This window comes from Homo sapiens, chromosome 2 (assembly GCF_000001405.40).
Source record: "Homo sapiens chromosome 2, GRCh38.p14 Primary Assembly".
NCBI classification, from domain to species: Eukaryota; Metazoa; Chordata; class Mammalia; order Primates; family Hominidae; genus Homo; species Homo sapiens.
In genome coordinates this window covers 154,825,124-154,839,164 of record NC_000002.12, presented here as the reverse complement: position 1 = coordinate 154,839,164, position 14,041 = coordinate 154,825,124, and the positions used below count along the sequence as shown (strand labels likewise).

General features: G+C 34.3%; 1 protein-coding gene across 2 annotated transcripts in view; it reads right to left on the bottom strand.

Moving 5' to 3' along the window:
- KCNJ3 (potassium inwardly rectifying channel subfamily J member 3) overlaps window positions 1–14,041 on the bottom strand; it is a 159,660-nt gene that overhangs the window by 19,190 nt on the left and 126,429 nt on the right. The gene's annotated exons all lie outside the window — the stretch shown is intronic.

Sequence of the window (14,041 nt, the reverse complement as noted above, 5' to 3'; positions counted from 1 at the left end):
AACAATGAGATCACTTGGACACAAGGCGGGGAACATCACACACCAGGGCCTATCGGGAGGTGGGGGGCTGGGGGAGAGACAGCATTAGGAGAAATAACTAATGTAAATGATGAGTTGATGGGTGCAGCAAACAAACATGGCACATGTATACCGATGTATCAAACCTGCACGTTGTGCACATGTACTCTAGAACTTAAAGTATAATAAAAATAAATACATACATAAAAATTTCTAGCTTAAAAAAATGAAACATCCAGGCAATGCTGGAATTTAATTATTTTGGAAAACATTATCACTAGCATAGAGAAGAAAATCTTTTGAAATATCGTATAAAGCAATGACATATGTTTCATCTTTTTCTAAATGTTACATGCAAAGTACAATAATCAAATACTTAGGTTAATTTCTGTTTTCAAAGATTACTAAAGCCTTGCTTTACAATGTCATGCTTTACAATGTTACATTTATATAAAATAAACAAAATTTAAATAGGTAATAAAAATAAACCCCAAATTTTCTAGCATGTCTTTCTAGTTCCTTCAAAATCTAGTTCTAACTTACCATTACAATTTTCACTCTTAAAAATCTTTAACAACAATAACCACACACACAGTAAAAACATACGTGCTGGATCCTAAGTGTTTCTATGTGTATTATCATATAATTCTCCTCACTACCCTAGGAAGTATGTACTGTTCTTTTTCTCATATGACTGATAAAGATACTGAGGTACAGGGAGGTAAAGTCACTTGTCCAGAATCACAGGACGAGAGATGGTTGTAGTCAAAATACACACTCAGGTCCTCAATTTTAGAGCCAGCCTTTTTCACCTCCATGCTAGTCTGCTATTTTGTTTTCATAAATTATTGACTTTTCCATTAGCTAGAAACTACTATTTCCCATTCATATTACTTGGTTGATGCCTGGCATGTCCTCTTCCATCTCTCCACCTGTTGACATAACTCCTCACATTCAAGGCTGACGAAATGCTCTTAATTTTATGAAGTCATTCCTGATTTCTCCATCTTAATTTGTCTTTTGAATGTGTCATATTGTCACACACACAAACATGCATTCACATACACACACTCATCCTGCACCTTCTATGTACTGTAAATGTCTCAATGACTTACATACTTGAGTTCAATCAATCAGTAATAATATTTAACATTTATTCATTTATTAAAATTTCCTTTCTGCCAGGCTTTCCAGATGCTAAATTACAAGGTGCTATAACAATAAAGTGAAGAATAAACTCTCTTAAATTCCATTTTTAAACCTATTCTGGAAAGGCAAGTAGCAGTTTCCCATATAGTCTATATCCGCAATGTGAGAAAACTACATTCTGGGGTGGATGGAAAAAGAGCACATGCAAAGGCATCACCAGTCAACATATAATTCCTATTTATAATTCACTGCAGTTACAGACACATTTCAGATTACAGTAAGCTTCTTAAGCGAGCTCTTATATACCTTATCCATCTCCTTACCCAGCATTGTGCCAGGTATGAGATGATTAATGCATTCCACAGGAGAGACAGCAGAAGGAATGGAGAAAGAGGAAGAATGGGAAGGTTAAAAATGTTAGCACAGGTGAAGTCAACTTTTTGAATAATAAAAGTCTTCCATTCCCATTACTATACCAATCTACTTCACCACCACTCCAGAGGGTCACAAATAAAAATAAAAGGAATATAATTATTATTGAAATAAATATATGCTACATTTCAATCTGGATTATTTCCTGTGCTTTTAAGACAATGATATGTTAATTCAACTCATGAACTCAAAAATTGACTTTGAAACATCCATACAAAGAGCTTCTTATATTGATTAGTGAGGGGGCAAGAATGTCAACATAAATTATATATAATCATTGTTTAAATCATGAATTTTGCACAAAAAAGTAAGATACATTTGCTGACAAATCAAATTCAGTCATAACCAGATGTGTTTTTCCTTTCGCCTTTATGAAATTATACACAGATAGATGCATATCTAGTTACATTTACTAAAAAAGTTGGCTTTATCGTCATGCAATCATTAAACCATAGAATAATTACAGGAATTGGACATTTTGATACACTTACACACTTGACATCCATGGAATCTAAAGTTTTGGTGAAATTTCTATCCCTCGTGTAACTATGATTGATCACCTTTAAAATACACTGTATCTATTTTTACCTGACAATTTTAAAATTGTTTTACCCCAACTCATGAGTCTTACTCTTTACATAGGCTGCCACATCTTTTTAAATCACAAACTAGGGCTATTTTTTAACATCTCCTTTGGCAGAAATTCAAATACATTTTGTTTGCTTGCAGGCTTAAAACAGGGCCTGAATAAATATTTGCAATTCAGCAGTTGTTCTGGTTCTATGCTTTGCAGTAAAAGGTCAGAGAATTTTGCTTCTAATTTTTCTTTTATGCTATTTATAGAACCTAAGTGAAAAATAAATTCCCTATAATTTTATGAAAACATTTTGGAATGCTTTGTATTTTGGTTGCGAAAATGCATCACAATAATAATCACAAATATATATTATTTTAGTACATGTATTTTAAAAGAAAAAATAAATGATTGCTTTGACCATGTATATACAAGTCTGATAAAGGAATTTAATTTTCTGCCATGACATAAATAGGCATTTAAAGTCACATTATTAAAAGTTTCCTAAACTACATGGCTTCTCATTTCCTTACATGTAATTTATTTCAATTAAGAAAAAAAAACAGAAAATCACTTTTAAGAAGTCAAAGATATAAAAATGCTGAGACAAATAACATATGAAATGCAAACAGTGACTTCCTTAAAATTGACATTTTCAGAAAAGAAATGACAATTTAGCTCTGTAAGTTTAATGCTAAAATGTAGCTCAACTCCAAGGCAGGCTAGATTTTCTCCTAGTTGTTTTTTTTTGTTTTTTTTTTTGTTTTTTTTTGTTTTTTTTTTTGAGACAGTCTTGCTCTGTCACCTAGGCTGGGGTGCAGTGGTGTGATCTTGGCTCATTGCAACCTCCGCCTCCTGAGTTCAAGTGATTCTCCTGCCTCAGCCTCCCGAGTAGCTGGGACTACAGGCGCATGCCACCACGCCAGGTTAATTTTTGTATTTTTAGTAAGACAGGGTTTCGCCATGTTGGCCAGGCTGGTCTCAAACTCCTAACCTCAGGTGACCAACCTGCCTCGGCCTCCCAAAATGCTGGGCTAGAGTTTAAACTAAAAGATAATCTGTCTATAAGCATTCTGTTAAAATCAAGAGCCAAGGTCTAGATATAAAATTCTCTAGGTCTGGTGACCTTTCAGAAAATTTTTTTCATATGTGAAGAATGTTTTGACATTTATGAACATAATTATCCATATTATATGAATGATAGTAAGATATAAAATATATGAAACTGCCTAATATTCAAAAGCTTGTTAATATTATAAAATGACATAGCTAACGTCTAAACAAGGAAGGGAGAGAGAAAGGAGGAAGGTTGGGTAAATTAAGCCACCTGGGATTTTGGAAATCGAGCTCTTTGGCCATATACTCTTAGGAATCATTAGATAGAAATAATAATTGGTGAAGAAAAGGTTTACGTTGTGGCCAAACTTATCCACAGGTATAAATTATTATGTCATCCAGAAAATATATATTCATATATATATATTTTGATATATATTCATATTCATGAATATTATATATTCATATTCATGAATATTATATATTCATATTCATGAATATTATATATTCATATATAATCTGCAAATTTTAACATCCCTTTGCTAGTGATATTTACCCTTAAATATATTACTTTTTGAATAGTAAACAAAAAAAAGAAAATAATTTATTGTCGTAAAGTTATTTTAAGTAACATTTTATGCTGCCTAATAAGCATTTCAAAAATTAACAAGGTAATATTCCAATTAACCTGAAAAATATATAAACTGTAATGATTAAATCCTTTCTTATACATATTGACAAAAGTATCCAAGATTTTTCTGAGCCTACTTAATGAAGTAATGACTGATTCATGTCTTATTTAACAAAAGTTTCAGAGAAATAAAATGACATTTTTCTGCATTTAGTTTATGAATCAAGAATAACAGAAATGCTTTAAGCCAAATCAAAAGGAAGAATATCGGAGGTAATGATATTTAAAAAAAAAAATAGGAAGAGAAGCTGGGGTGAGGAGGAGTGAGCAACATTTGGTTCTAATTATTATAATTGATTAAAATAATTCATAAAGCTATAATTAAGGGTATTTTAAACTTTTAAAATTTACTATTAAGGGTGGAATGAGAAGTTATTATTAAGTATGTTATTATGATGTAGACAACTCATAAAAATGGCATCATTTAAAATTTACTGCATATATATTATATGCTAGGTTCTATGGTAAAAGACTTAAATGACTTATTCTATTTTTTATTTTATTTTATTTTATTTTTTGAGATGGAGTCTCGCTCTGTCACCCAGGCGGGAGTGCAGTGGCTCACTCGGCTCACTGTAAGCTCCGCCTCCCAGGTTCACGCCATTCTCCTGTCTCAGCCTCCGGAGTAGCTGGGATTACAGGCGCCCGCCACCATGCTTGGCTAATATTTTGTATTTTTAGTAAAGATGGCGTTTCACCATGTTAGCCAGGATGGTCTCGATCCTTACCGCGTGATCCACCCGCCTCGGCAGCCCAAAGTGCTGGGATTACAGGTGTTAGCCACCGTGCCCGGCCTAACTGATTTATTTTCAAATCCTTGTAATATAATTAATATTTTATTTTTCAGGTGAAAAATCTATACCTCAATAAAATATGGGCAAAAGACCTTAACAGAGACTTCATCAAAGAAGATATACAGATGGCAAGTAGGTGTATGAAAAGATGTTCAACATCATATGTCATCAGAAAATTGCAAACTAAAACAATGAGATATCATTACATGGCTATCAAAATGGCTAAAATCCAAAACATTGACAATACCGAATGCTGGTAAGGTTATGGAATCACAAGAACTCTCATTCATTGCTCATGGGAATGCAAAATGGCACAGTCACTTTTGAAGACAGTTTGCCAGTTTATTACAAAACTAAACATATTTTTACCATACAACCCTTGATATTTACCCAGTTGCACTCCTTGATATTTACCCAGTTTAACTGGACAGTTATGTCCATGCAAAAATCTGCACAGGAATGTTTATAGCAGCTTTATTTATAATTGCCCAAACTTGGAAGCCATGGAGATGCCTTCAGTAGGAGACAGACTGTGGTACAGCCATACAACAGAATTATTATTTAGTAATAAAAAAAAATACACTATTAAGCCACAAAAAAACATGAAGGAACCTTAAATACATATTATGATTTGAAAGAAATCATCTGAAAAGGCTACATCCTGTATTATTTCAACTATATAACATTCTAGAAAATGTAACTATGGAAAGAGTAGAAAGATCAGTGATTGCCAGGGGTTTAGGGAGACGGAGGGATGAATAGATAGAATACCAGAGATTTTTAGGGCAGTGGAATTATTCTGTTTGATACACAACGATGGTTATACATCATCATACATTTGTTAAAACTCAGAATATATAACACAAAGCATGAACCTTGATGTAAACTATGAACTTGGCTGAATAATGATGTGTCAGTGTGGTTCATTGATTATAACAGATGTACCACAGCATGCTGCAAACTGATGGTGTGAGAAGCTGGAGTAGAGATTGGGCTGGGGGGAACATGCATGGAAACTCCCTGTACTACTTGCTTAATTTTGCTGAGAGTCTGAAGCTGCTCTAAAGTCTATTAATTGGAAAATTTTAAAGTTTAAAAAATTTAAATAACAAAAACAGAAAAACCTTGTACTTAAGAGAGGTTACATAACTTGCTTAAGGCCTCACAGTTTGTAAGTGGTGAAGCCACATTATTTCTGTTCTTTAAGTTAACTATTCCACAAAGGCTGTATGATTACATGCTACATTTCAGCCATTTCACTATGCCATAAAGGACCTACATACCGTGATGCATATAATGAAATAAAAATGATTGACATAAAGATTTACCACCAAATCTGCTTACTTATTTAACAATTTCTAAATTTTCATTATAATAATTCCTAGAACTATATTTCAAGGAATTTTAAAAATTTAAAAACAATGCCTTTAAGGGTGGAATGAGAAGTCACATAGTCAAACCCTATTTTTGTTGTTCTGAAATTTGTATATTCTAAATACCCTGCTCACCACATTTGGCAACATTTTGCCGAGTCACCTAAGTAAATAAGCAAATCTGTTTTGTTGTACCTATTCCATATCTCCACACAACTCTCCAAAACAAATGAAGGCAAGAAATACGTAGATTTTCTGTGCCTTATAAGCCAATTTCAGAAGCCTCAGTCTAATGTTAAAGTTTCTGTGAACAAAGATAAAATTATTTAATCATTCTTCACAATGTAAAGCATCTCCATTTGAAGCCATCACTATTGCTTATACACTCTATAAGCTCCATTTCCTCTGATGTTAATAACTCCAAGTTATTTATTGGCTATCATACTCTTTTATAACTGCTTCTTCCCTCAAGCAATACATATTATTTTCTTAATCTGTCTTCAGACATCAATTGGTTAAGTATATAAAATATCTAACAAATGGTGGAACAAGCAGAGCTTACTATAAAGTGTTATCACATAAGATCCAAGTTTAGGACTATAATGAGAATATGCTATAATCTTAAAAGAGAAATGTTTCCATCACCATCAAACAAAGAGAAACATGCATAGACTATGTTTCAAGAGGAACATTAACTAAACATTCAAAACTTCAACTGGCCAGAGGTGGATTTAACATACTTGTGAAGATTAAGCTTCAGGGACTCTCACTATCACAAGTCCTTTCCATTTTCATACATTTGATTTCATACTTTTTTTTAATTAAATTGAAACCCATTCCTATGGTTTGGACACTTGAACCCTTCAAATATCTTCCTGAAATTTGACCCATAATGTTGGAGATGGGGCCCGGTGGGAGGTGTCTAGATGCATGGGGGCAGATCGCTCATGAATGTCTTGGTGCAATGCATTCTCCATGAATGTATTGGTGGTAAGTTCTCACTCTGTTAATTCTAAAGACAGCTGGTACAAAGAGCCTGGCACCTCCTTCCCTCTCTCTCTTGCTTCCTTTGTCACCACATGATCTCTGTGTTTTCTGCACACACTGGTTCCCCTTCACCTTCCGCCATGACTGGGAAGCAGCCTGAGTCCTCACCAGAAGCAAATGCTTCTTGTACAACCTGCAGAACCATGAGCCAAATAAACTTATTTTATTTATAATGTACCTAGCTTTGGGTATTCTTTTATAGTAACACAAATGGACTAAGATACATCCCCACCTAGATGTGCTCCTGCAAAGTGCTGTAACATGTAATCAAAGCAATGTTCCCTGACCTAGACTGCATGTACAGTTAAAAATATTTGCCAGTACCTTGGTGGTATCGTTGCATAAATTTTCTGTTCTTAATAAATATTTATGAACACTGAGAGCAGAATACACATTCTGCACACCTTTTATAGACATTGCCTGTTTTCCCTCAATGACACATCTCATCCATACATGTGGCCCATTGGACACTGTCCTTAACCTGGTATCATCTCCCCCACCCCATGCTACAGCTAGTACTGACAACAGTCTTTGACAGACCTGGCAATTATCCTAACCTTAAAACTGTTCCTCATAATCGCCCTTCTTCTCTTTCAAGGGGTACTCAATAAATATTGACTATTATTACTACCGTAATTATTAATATTTAAAGATTTAATCTTATGAAATGGAGTCTTATACAAAACTATTTTTAGAGTAAAACAGACTTTTCCATTTCTTTTGAATGATGACAAACCTCCATCAGATAAGGAGTATTTGGTGTTGTATATTGAAGGGAAACTGTACTTATCACCTGAAAAAAATGCTAATCCATTCAGTAAGGGGTAACTGTTGTGCTTTATCAAAGGCTGTGACACAGTCTTATGAGACTGTGTTTTGCAGAGATCACTTTGACTGTCCATTGGAGAAAATATCTGATGAGGTCAAGACTGAACAAGTAAACCAATTGAGAAGCTGTAGTAAAAGACAATGGCCAAACAAGTGACTGCAGAGATAGATCAAAAAGATATTTAGAAGGGAAATTTAACAGGACTTGACAACTAATTGGATTTAGAAGGTGAGGAAGGCTGGCTAGGAACAATTTCTTATTGTTGCAATGATGAAGATGGACATACTCTGAAATTTTACTTGTACTTCTTGTAAGAAAGGAAAGATAAAAATAGTAAATTAAATCATGTCCTTTCATTTTCTGAACTTCTTGATCAAATTTGTCTGACAGTTTTGTAGAGTCATCCCTGCCAACAGTCTTAGCAGCCAGTAGAATGAGAAAAATAATCATTCTCATCTAATCATGTGCCATTAAACTAAGAACAATTACTTCCAACTAAGCTGTCTCTCCATTCTGCCAAGTTCAAAGGAAATGTTATGACCAAAGTGTCACCTCAAGTCTCAAGTTTCTATATCTGGCATTAATTTCATTAATTATAGCCTCTTTATTTTACTCCTGATCTGCTGACAGAGCACTGGCTGGGTCTCAGCCAACTAATCAAGATTAAATACATTAAGTTTGAAACACACGAAGCGCATCTTAATGCAATTGTTTTTTCCGAGGCTCTTTTCTGGAAAAACAGGTATAATAATCTTATAGTGTTTTGATGATTTTAAAATACAGTTTTAATAAAAGGCATTAACTTTCCTATAATCAACAAGAATCTGCTGGAATATAGCCATAATTCAATGCTACTTTTTCAGGAATATGAGAACAAAACAGGCAAAGAAACTGTACTTTATTCAGATCTGATGAAATAAAAATTATGTCTTTTGTAAGTGAATAACCTTATTGCCTGAATAGTGCAATTTAAAAATCCAGACTAATTTGAGTTGGAGAAGCCTGAGGAAACATAATTTAAAACACTAGCTTATATCAAAGAGGGAAACTGAGGTACAGAGGAGGAATTTCCTGTATTTATCCTGGCCTTATCTATTTTCACTTTTTATAACGTAATTCAAGGTTTTCCAGATGAACTTTCTGTACAGGTTTACTTATATTCTGAGTTACCTCATTTTAATTAGAGGTTGCTACTAGAATATGTGAAGGAAACAGCCATCTGTCTCCTTCTCTACTATCATTTATAAATAATATTTGGGACTTTTCCAAAGAAGATATATCTGTCACCAACAAGCATATAAAAAGTGCTCAACATCACTAATCATTAGAAAAATAAAAATCAAAACCACAATAAGATACCATCTCACACCAATCAGAATGGCTATTATTAATTGATAATAAGAATGTTATTATTAGTATTTCTTATTGATTAATAAACTGTCAAAAATAGAGGCTAGTGAGGTTGCAGAGCAAAGGGAACACTTATACACTGAAAATCAGCATGGCAATTCCTCAAAAAACTTAAAATTACCGTATGACCTAGCCATCCCTTTACTGGGTATATACCCAAAAGAATATAAATCATTCAACCATAATGACACATGCACACATATGTTCATTGCAGCACTATTCACAATAGCAAAGAAATGGAATCAACCTAAATGCTAATCACTGGTTGACTGGATTTTAAAAGTGTGATACATATACATCATGGAATACTACACAGCTATAAGAAAGAACAAGGTCGTGTTCTTTGCAGCAATATGGATGGAGCTGGAAGACATTATCCTAAGCAAACTAACGCAGGAACAGAAAACCAAATATTACATGTTCTCACTTATATGTGGGAGTGAAACACTGAGTACATATGAAAATAAAGAAGGAAACAATAGACACCAGGGCCTACTTGAGGGTAGCGGCTGGGAGGAGGGTGAGAATTGAAAAACTACCTATTGGGTACTACGCTCATTATCTGGGTGACAAAATAATCTGTGCACTAAACCCCTATGACATGCTAATTGCCTGTATAACAAACCTGTGCATGTACCCCTGAACCTACAATATCAGTTATACATAAATAAATAATATTTGAGTTTCAGTCCCTTAGTATACCCATTCTGAGGTCCCACAGATATTTTTAACCTCCACTTTACCAGGCCACAGAGGAAAGTCACACAATCAAGATGGTACAGCAGATATAGTCATTATTAAGTGTTTATTAAGTTTTTAACTTCAGATGTAAACATTATATAAAATCAGTTATATACCATAAGAGCACATACCTGGCATAATATATTTTTGATATACTTAATTGGTTAAATAAGTTCTATTTTTCACTGTATTTTGTTTGAAAAACTCAAACTAAATATTTTACCCCTAAATCTTCCTATTTAGCAATATAGAGCAAAAGTTCTTTATTTTGAAAAGATACAAGACTTTACATACCCAAAGGCATGGAGAGAAGAGATAATTAGTTTAAAAGAGATTTATCACCCCTGCCAAAGGGAATAGCATTCAAGGGAGCAGTTTGGGAACTGAGGAGATGCCCAAACTTGTGCTTCACATTGGACTAGAACAGCCCAGTTTGGTCTGAGCTAAGAGTCTAGTTATTGTTCTCATTGCCAGGTCATATGGACATCTCTCAAACCCAAAGGCATGCAATACAATGATTATTTCAAATCTCTTGACCAGTCTCGACAAAGCACCACCCAAAAATTCCAACACTTGTGCTCCATTCAGTAAACTGATGATCCTGATCATACTGATGCTTCTAACTCAACCTTCCCCACTCCCAGAACATGGGAACTTCCACGCTTCCCTTCCCTGATGGCCCTTGCATGTGGGAGGTGGGCAGGACTGCAATCACTGGGAGCCCCAGTAGGATATCTAAAGCTTTTAATATCTGTTTAAAACACTTGGATAGCTTTTACAAAGTTCAGGTTCGTGTGGTTTTCATATGATGGCTCTCATCAGTGAAACCTACCCATGCAGTAATGTAAAAACCATGCTTTATAATTTTTAAATGTTGACAATAATAGGTAAGTAGTAGTAATTCTTCAGAACTGAGTCATTACAGTATAAATGTCTTCTAAGACTTAGTTTTAGCATAACTACAATGCGGATATCAACCTTGCCACCCATTTAATGTGAAAAGAATTCATATGAAGATAATGAAGTATAGAAGTCAAAAATTATGTGTTCTTTCATCTAACACAAGAATAAACATCTGACGGTATCTGTTTATATTTTCTAAAATCTAAGTTATTTACAGAAAATATACTGTTCTTTCCAGAATTTGATCATTAGAATTGTTAAGTTACATTGAAGAACAAAATTGCTTATAATGCTAATAAGGTACTCTATGACTAAGACGTGTTTATATTTATTAATTTCTATTAAGATGCACTTGATTAGAATATATTACAGTGAATATGGCTAACATAGTAAAAGCCTGGTTAAAAATAAAACCTTAAATGCACATGCCAAAAAATAATAATTTCTTGAACATTTATAGAAAGCACCTATATAGCCTGTATTTGAATTGTTTACACCTTCCTTTCCTCCTGAGTCTTCCAAATGTCACTAGATTGAGAGGCTTCCAGAGGTTTAGAGTCTGTTGTAAATTGTGTTTCAAGCAGCAGTTATTACTAGAAAGGGTCCCTGTCTCTTCCTACTTGCCAAGCAGAAACAGTCTCATTAACATAAGGCAGGATGTTAAGCAGAACATCTGTTAAACTGATTTAGGAAAAATATCACCTTTGAAAGGCCTTAGGGGAAATTTCTGGGTTTAGAGCATTAAGTCACAGGACGATAATAGATTTTATCAACATACAAGTGAAAAGGAATGAGAGGTTCTTTTAAAAAGAGGTTCTTTTTGAATAAAATAGAAAAACACCCCAAAGATTAGTGAAGCCAAGAAAGTAAAAAGCTAAAGAAAAGTCTATGCCTAGAGCGCTTTGCCTTTAGGAGTCAGATTTTCTCAGCAAATCAAAAAAGATATAAGTCAATTAAAAGATATGCTTATTTTAAACTATCAGAATGGAAAAAAATTCAAGCAAAATAAAAACAGACTTATTAAGCTGGGAGAAGGATACAATTCGGCAAAAGGTTGTCATCTCCAAGAACAGGATATACCAATCAGAAAACGAAACAAGGATCTTGGACGCTCAGCTAAACAGAGACACACACACTCTGACCTGCTCTGAAAAATGAAACTGTCTAAGATGCCTAGAGGTCCCCAAATCACATATGCTGTTTTGAACACGAAATACAAATTATACACACTTAGTAAGTCCAAAATTCTGATAAATGAAGTGTACCTGCTTTACATTAAAATGAAATTGCAGAAAATATCACCCCGCCCCTGACATCCACACACATCCACACACGTGCACAAACAGATAGGTTCATTTATAAAAATAAAATGTCTGATCTAAACATGTGTAACAAAATTGGTGCTCTCTGAATTCATTGTGGGGTATTTTGTAACAAGGAGTCTTGCTAACATTCATCATATCTCATGGCGGGACAACCCCGATCCTCAAGGTGCTCATGTCAAAGAGAAACAACAGTGCAAAAGTAGCTGCATGTATTTATTTCTAGCTCCATATAAAACGAGTTTTAACTTTATGTCTGCAAAGCTTATTTTAATGACAATTTTTAGTAAATTATATATGTGAAAATAGTAATGGCCTTTCCAACATTAAGTTAAATTACCACAACTTCATTAACCAACACTGCAAATGACTAGTGTCTTCAAGAAATTCCATTTTATACAAGTAACAGGAAAACAACATAAGGGTCTGAAATTCTTTAAACAGTTTATAAGTATTTGAAAATTTCCAGATGCCAAGGTTAACATTTCAGAATGAAAAGCTGTTGTTAGCCAAACTGCTGTGTATTCTGAACCACTCTTTATAAACATTTTCACATATCCCATTGGGCAGACTATTTCTTATTCATCTGTGCCCCTTCTAATGATTAGTCTCGTACATAGCTGGCCCTCAATAAACAATTCATGAATCTTGAAACCAAACGACAAAGGATGCCATAGGTAAGTTAGTCAGAGCCTCAATCAATTTCTGTTATTCTTCCCTCTAAGTTAAATATGGGAAATATTTACTCTATAAGACCAATAAATGGGAGAGAAGTATTATCAAGGATTTGTTTCAATAGAATGAATTGTGAGTTTATATTAGGTAATTCTACCACTAATCTTTTGACTATTAACACTTCTATCACAGCCCTGTATCCTGGGTGGAATGTGATTGCATGATTAAGCTTGTTTGTAATAGGTTAACATTAATAATTAAAAAAAAAAAAAAAACAGGTGCAGTGGCTCATGACTGTAATCCCAGCACTTTGGGAAGCCGAGGTGGGAGGATCACCGAAGCCCCATAGTTTGAGACCAGCCTGGGCAACATAGTGAGACCTCATTCTCTACAAAAGTTAAAAAAAATTAGCTGGGTGTGGTGGCGCATGCCTGTGGTCCCCGGTATTTGGGATGCTGAGGTGGGAAGATCACTTTAAGTCTGGGAGGTCAAGGCTGCAGTAAGCTGTAATCATGCCATTGCACTCCAGTCTGGGCAACAGAGCAAGACCTTGTCTCAAAAAATAATAAATAAATAAATAAATAAATAAATAAATAAATAAATAAATAATTTCATGAGTTCTTGGGGTCCTGAACCTTCATTACTGTGACTAGATCTTTGAAATTGCTACTTGCTACACAATATTTCTCCTAATATTTCAGTTACATCATTAACATTCACTCATACATTAGATATTGAATATTGTACTAGGCACTGAAGATAAATTGGTAAGCAAAACAGGTTAGATTCCCACTCGTGGACCTAAGAAACTAGCAATGAATAGATTTTTAAATACAACACTTCAGCAAAGTTTGATAATTCCATCACAGGCACTTTTGGAAGACAAAGCTGGGCATTCACCCTGAGCATGAGGTCAAGAAGAGTGAGAAGGCTTCCAAAGGTAGGAAAAACACAGAAGGATGACAGGAAAAGGGTAAGTTGGGAGGAAGACTGTTCCAGGCCAAGAGATCTGCCTATTAGCATGCCC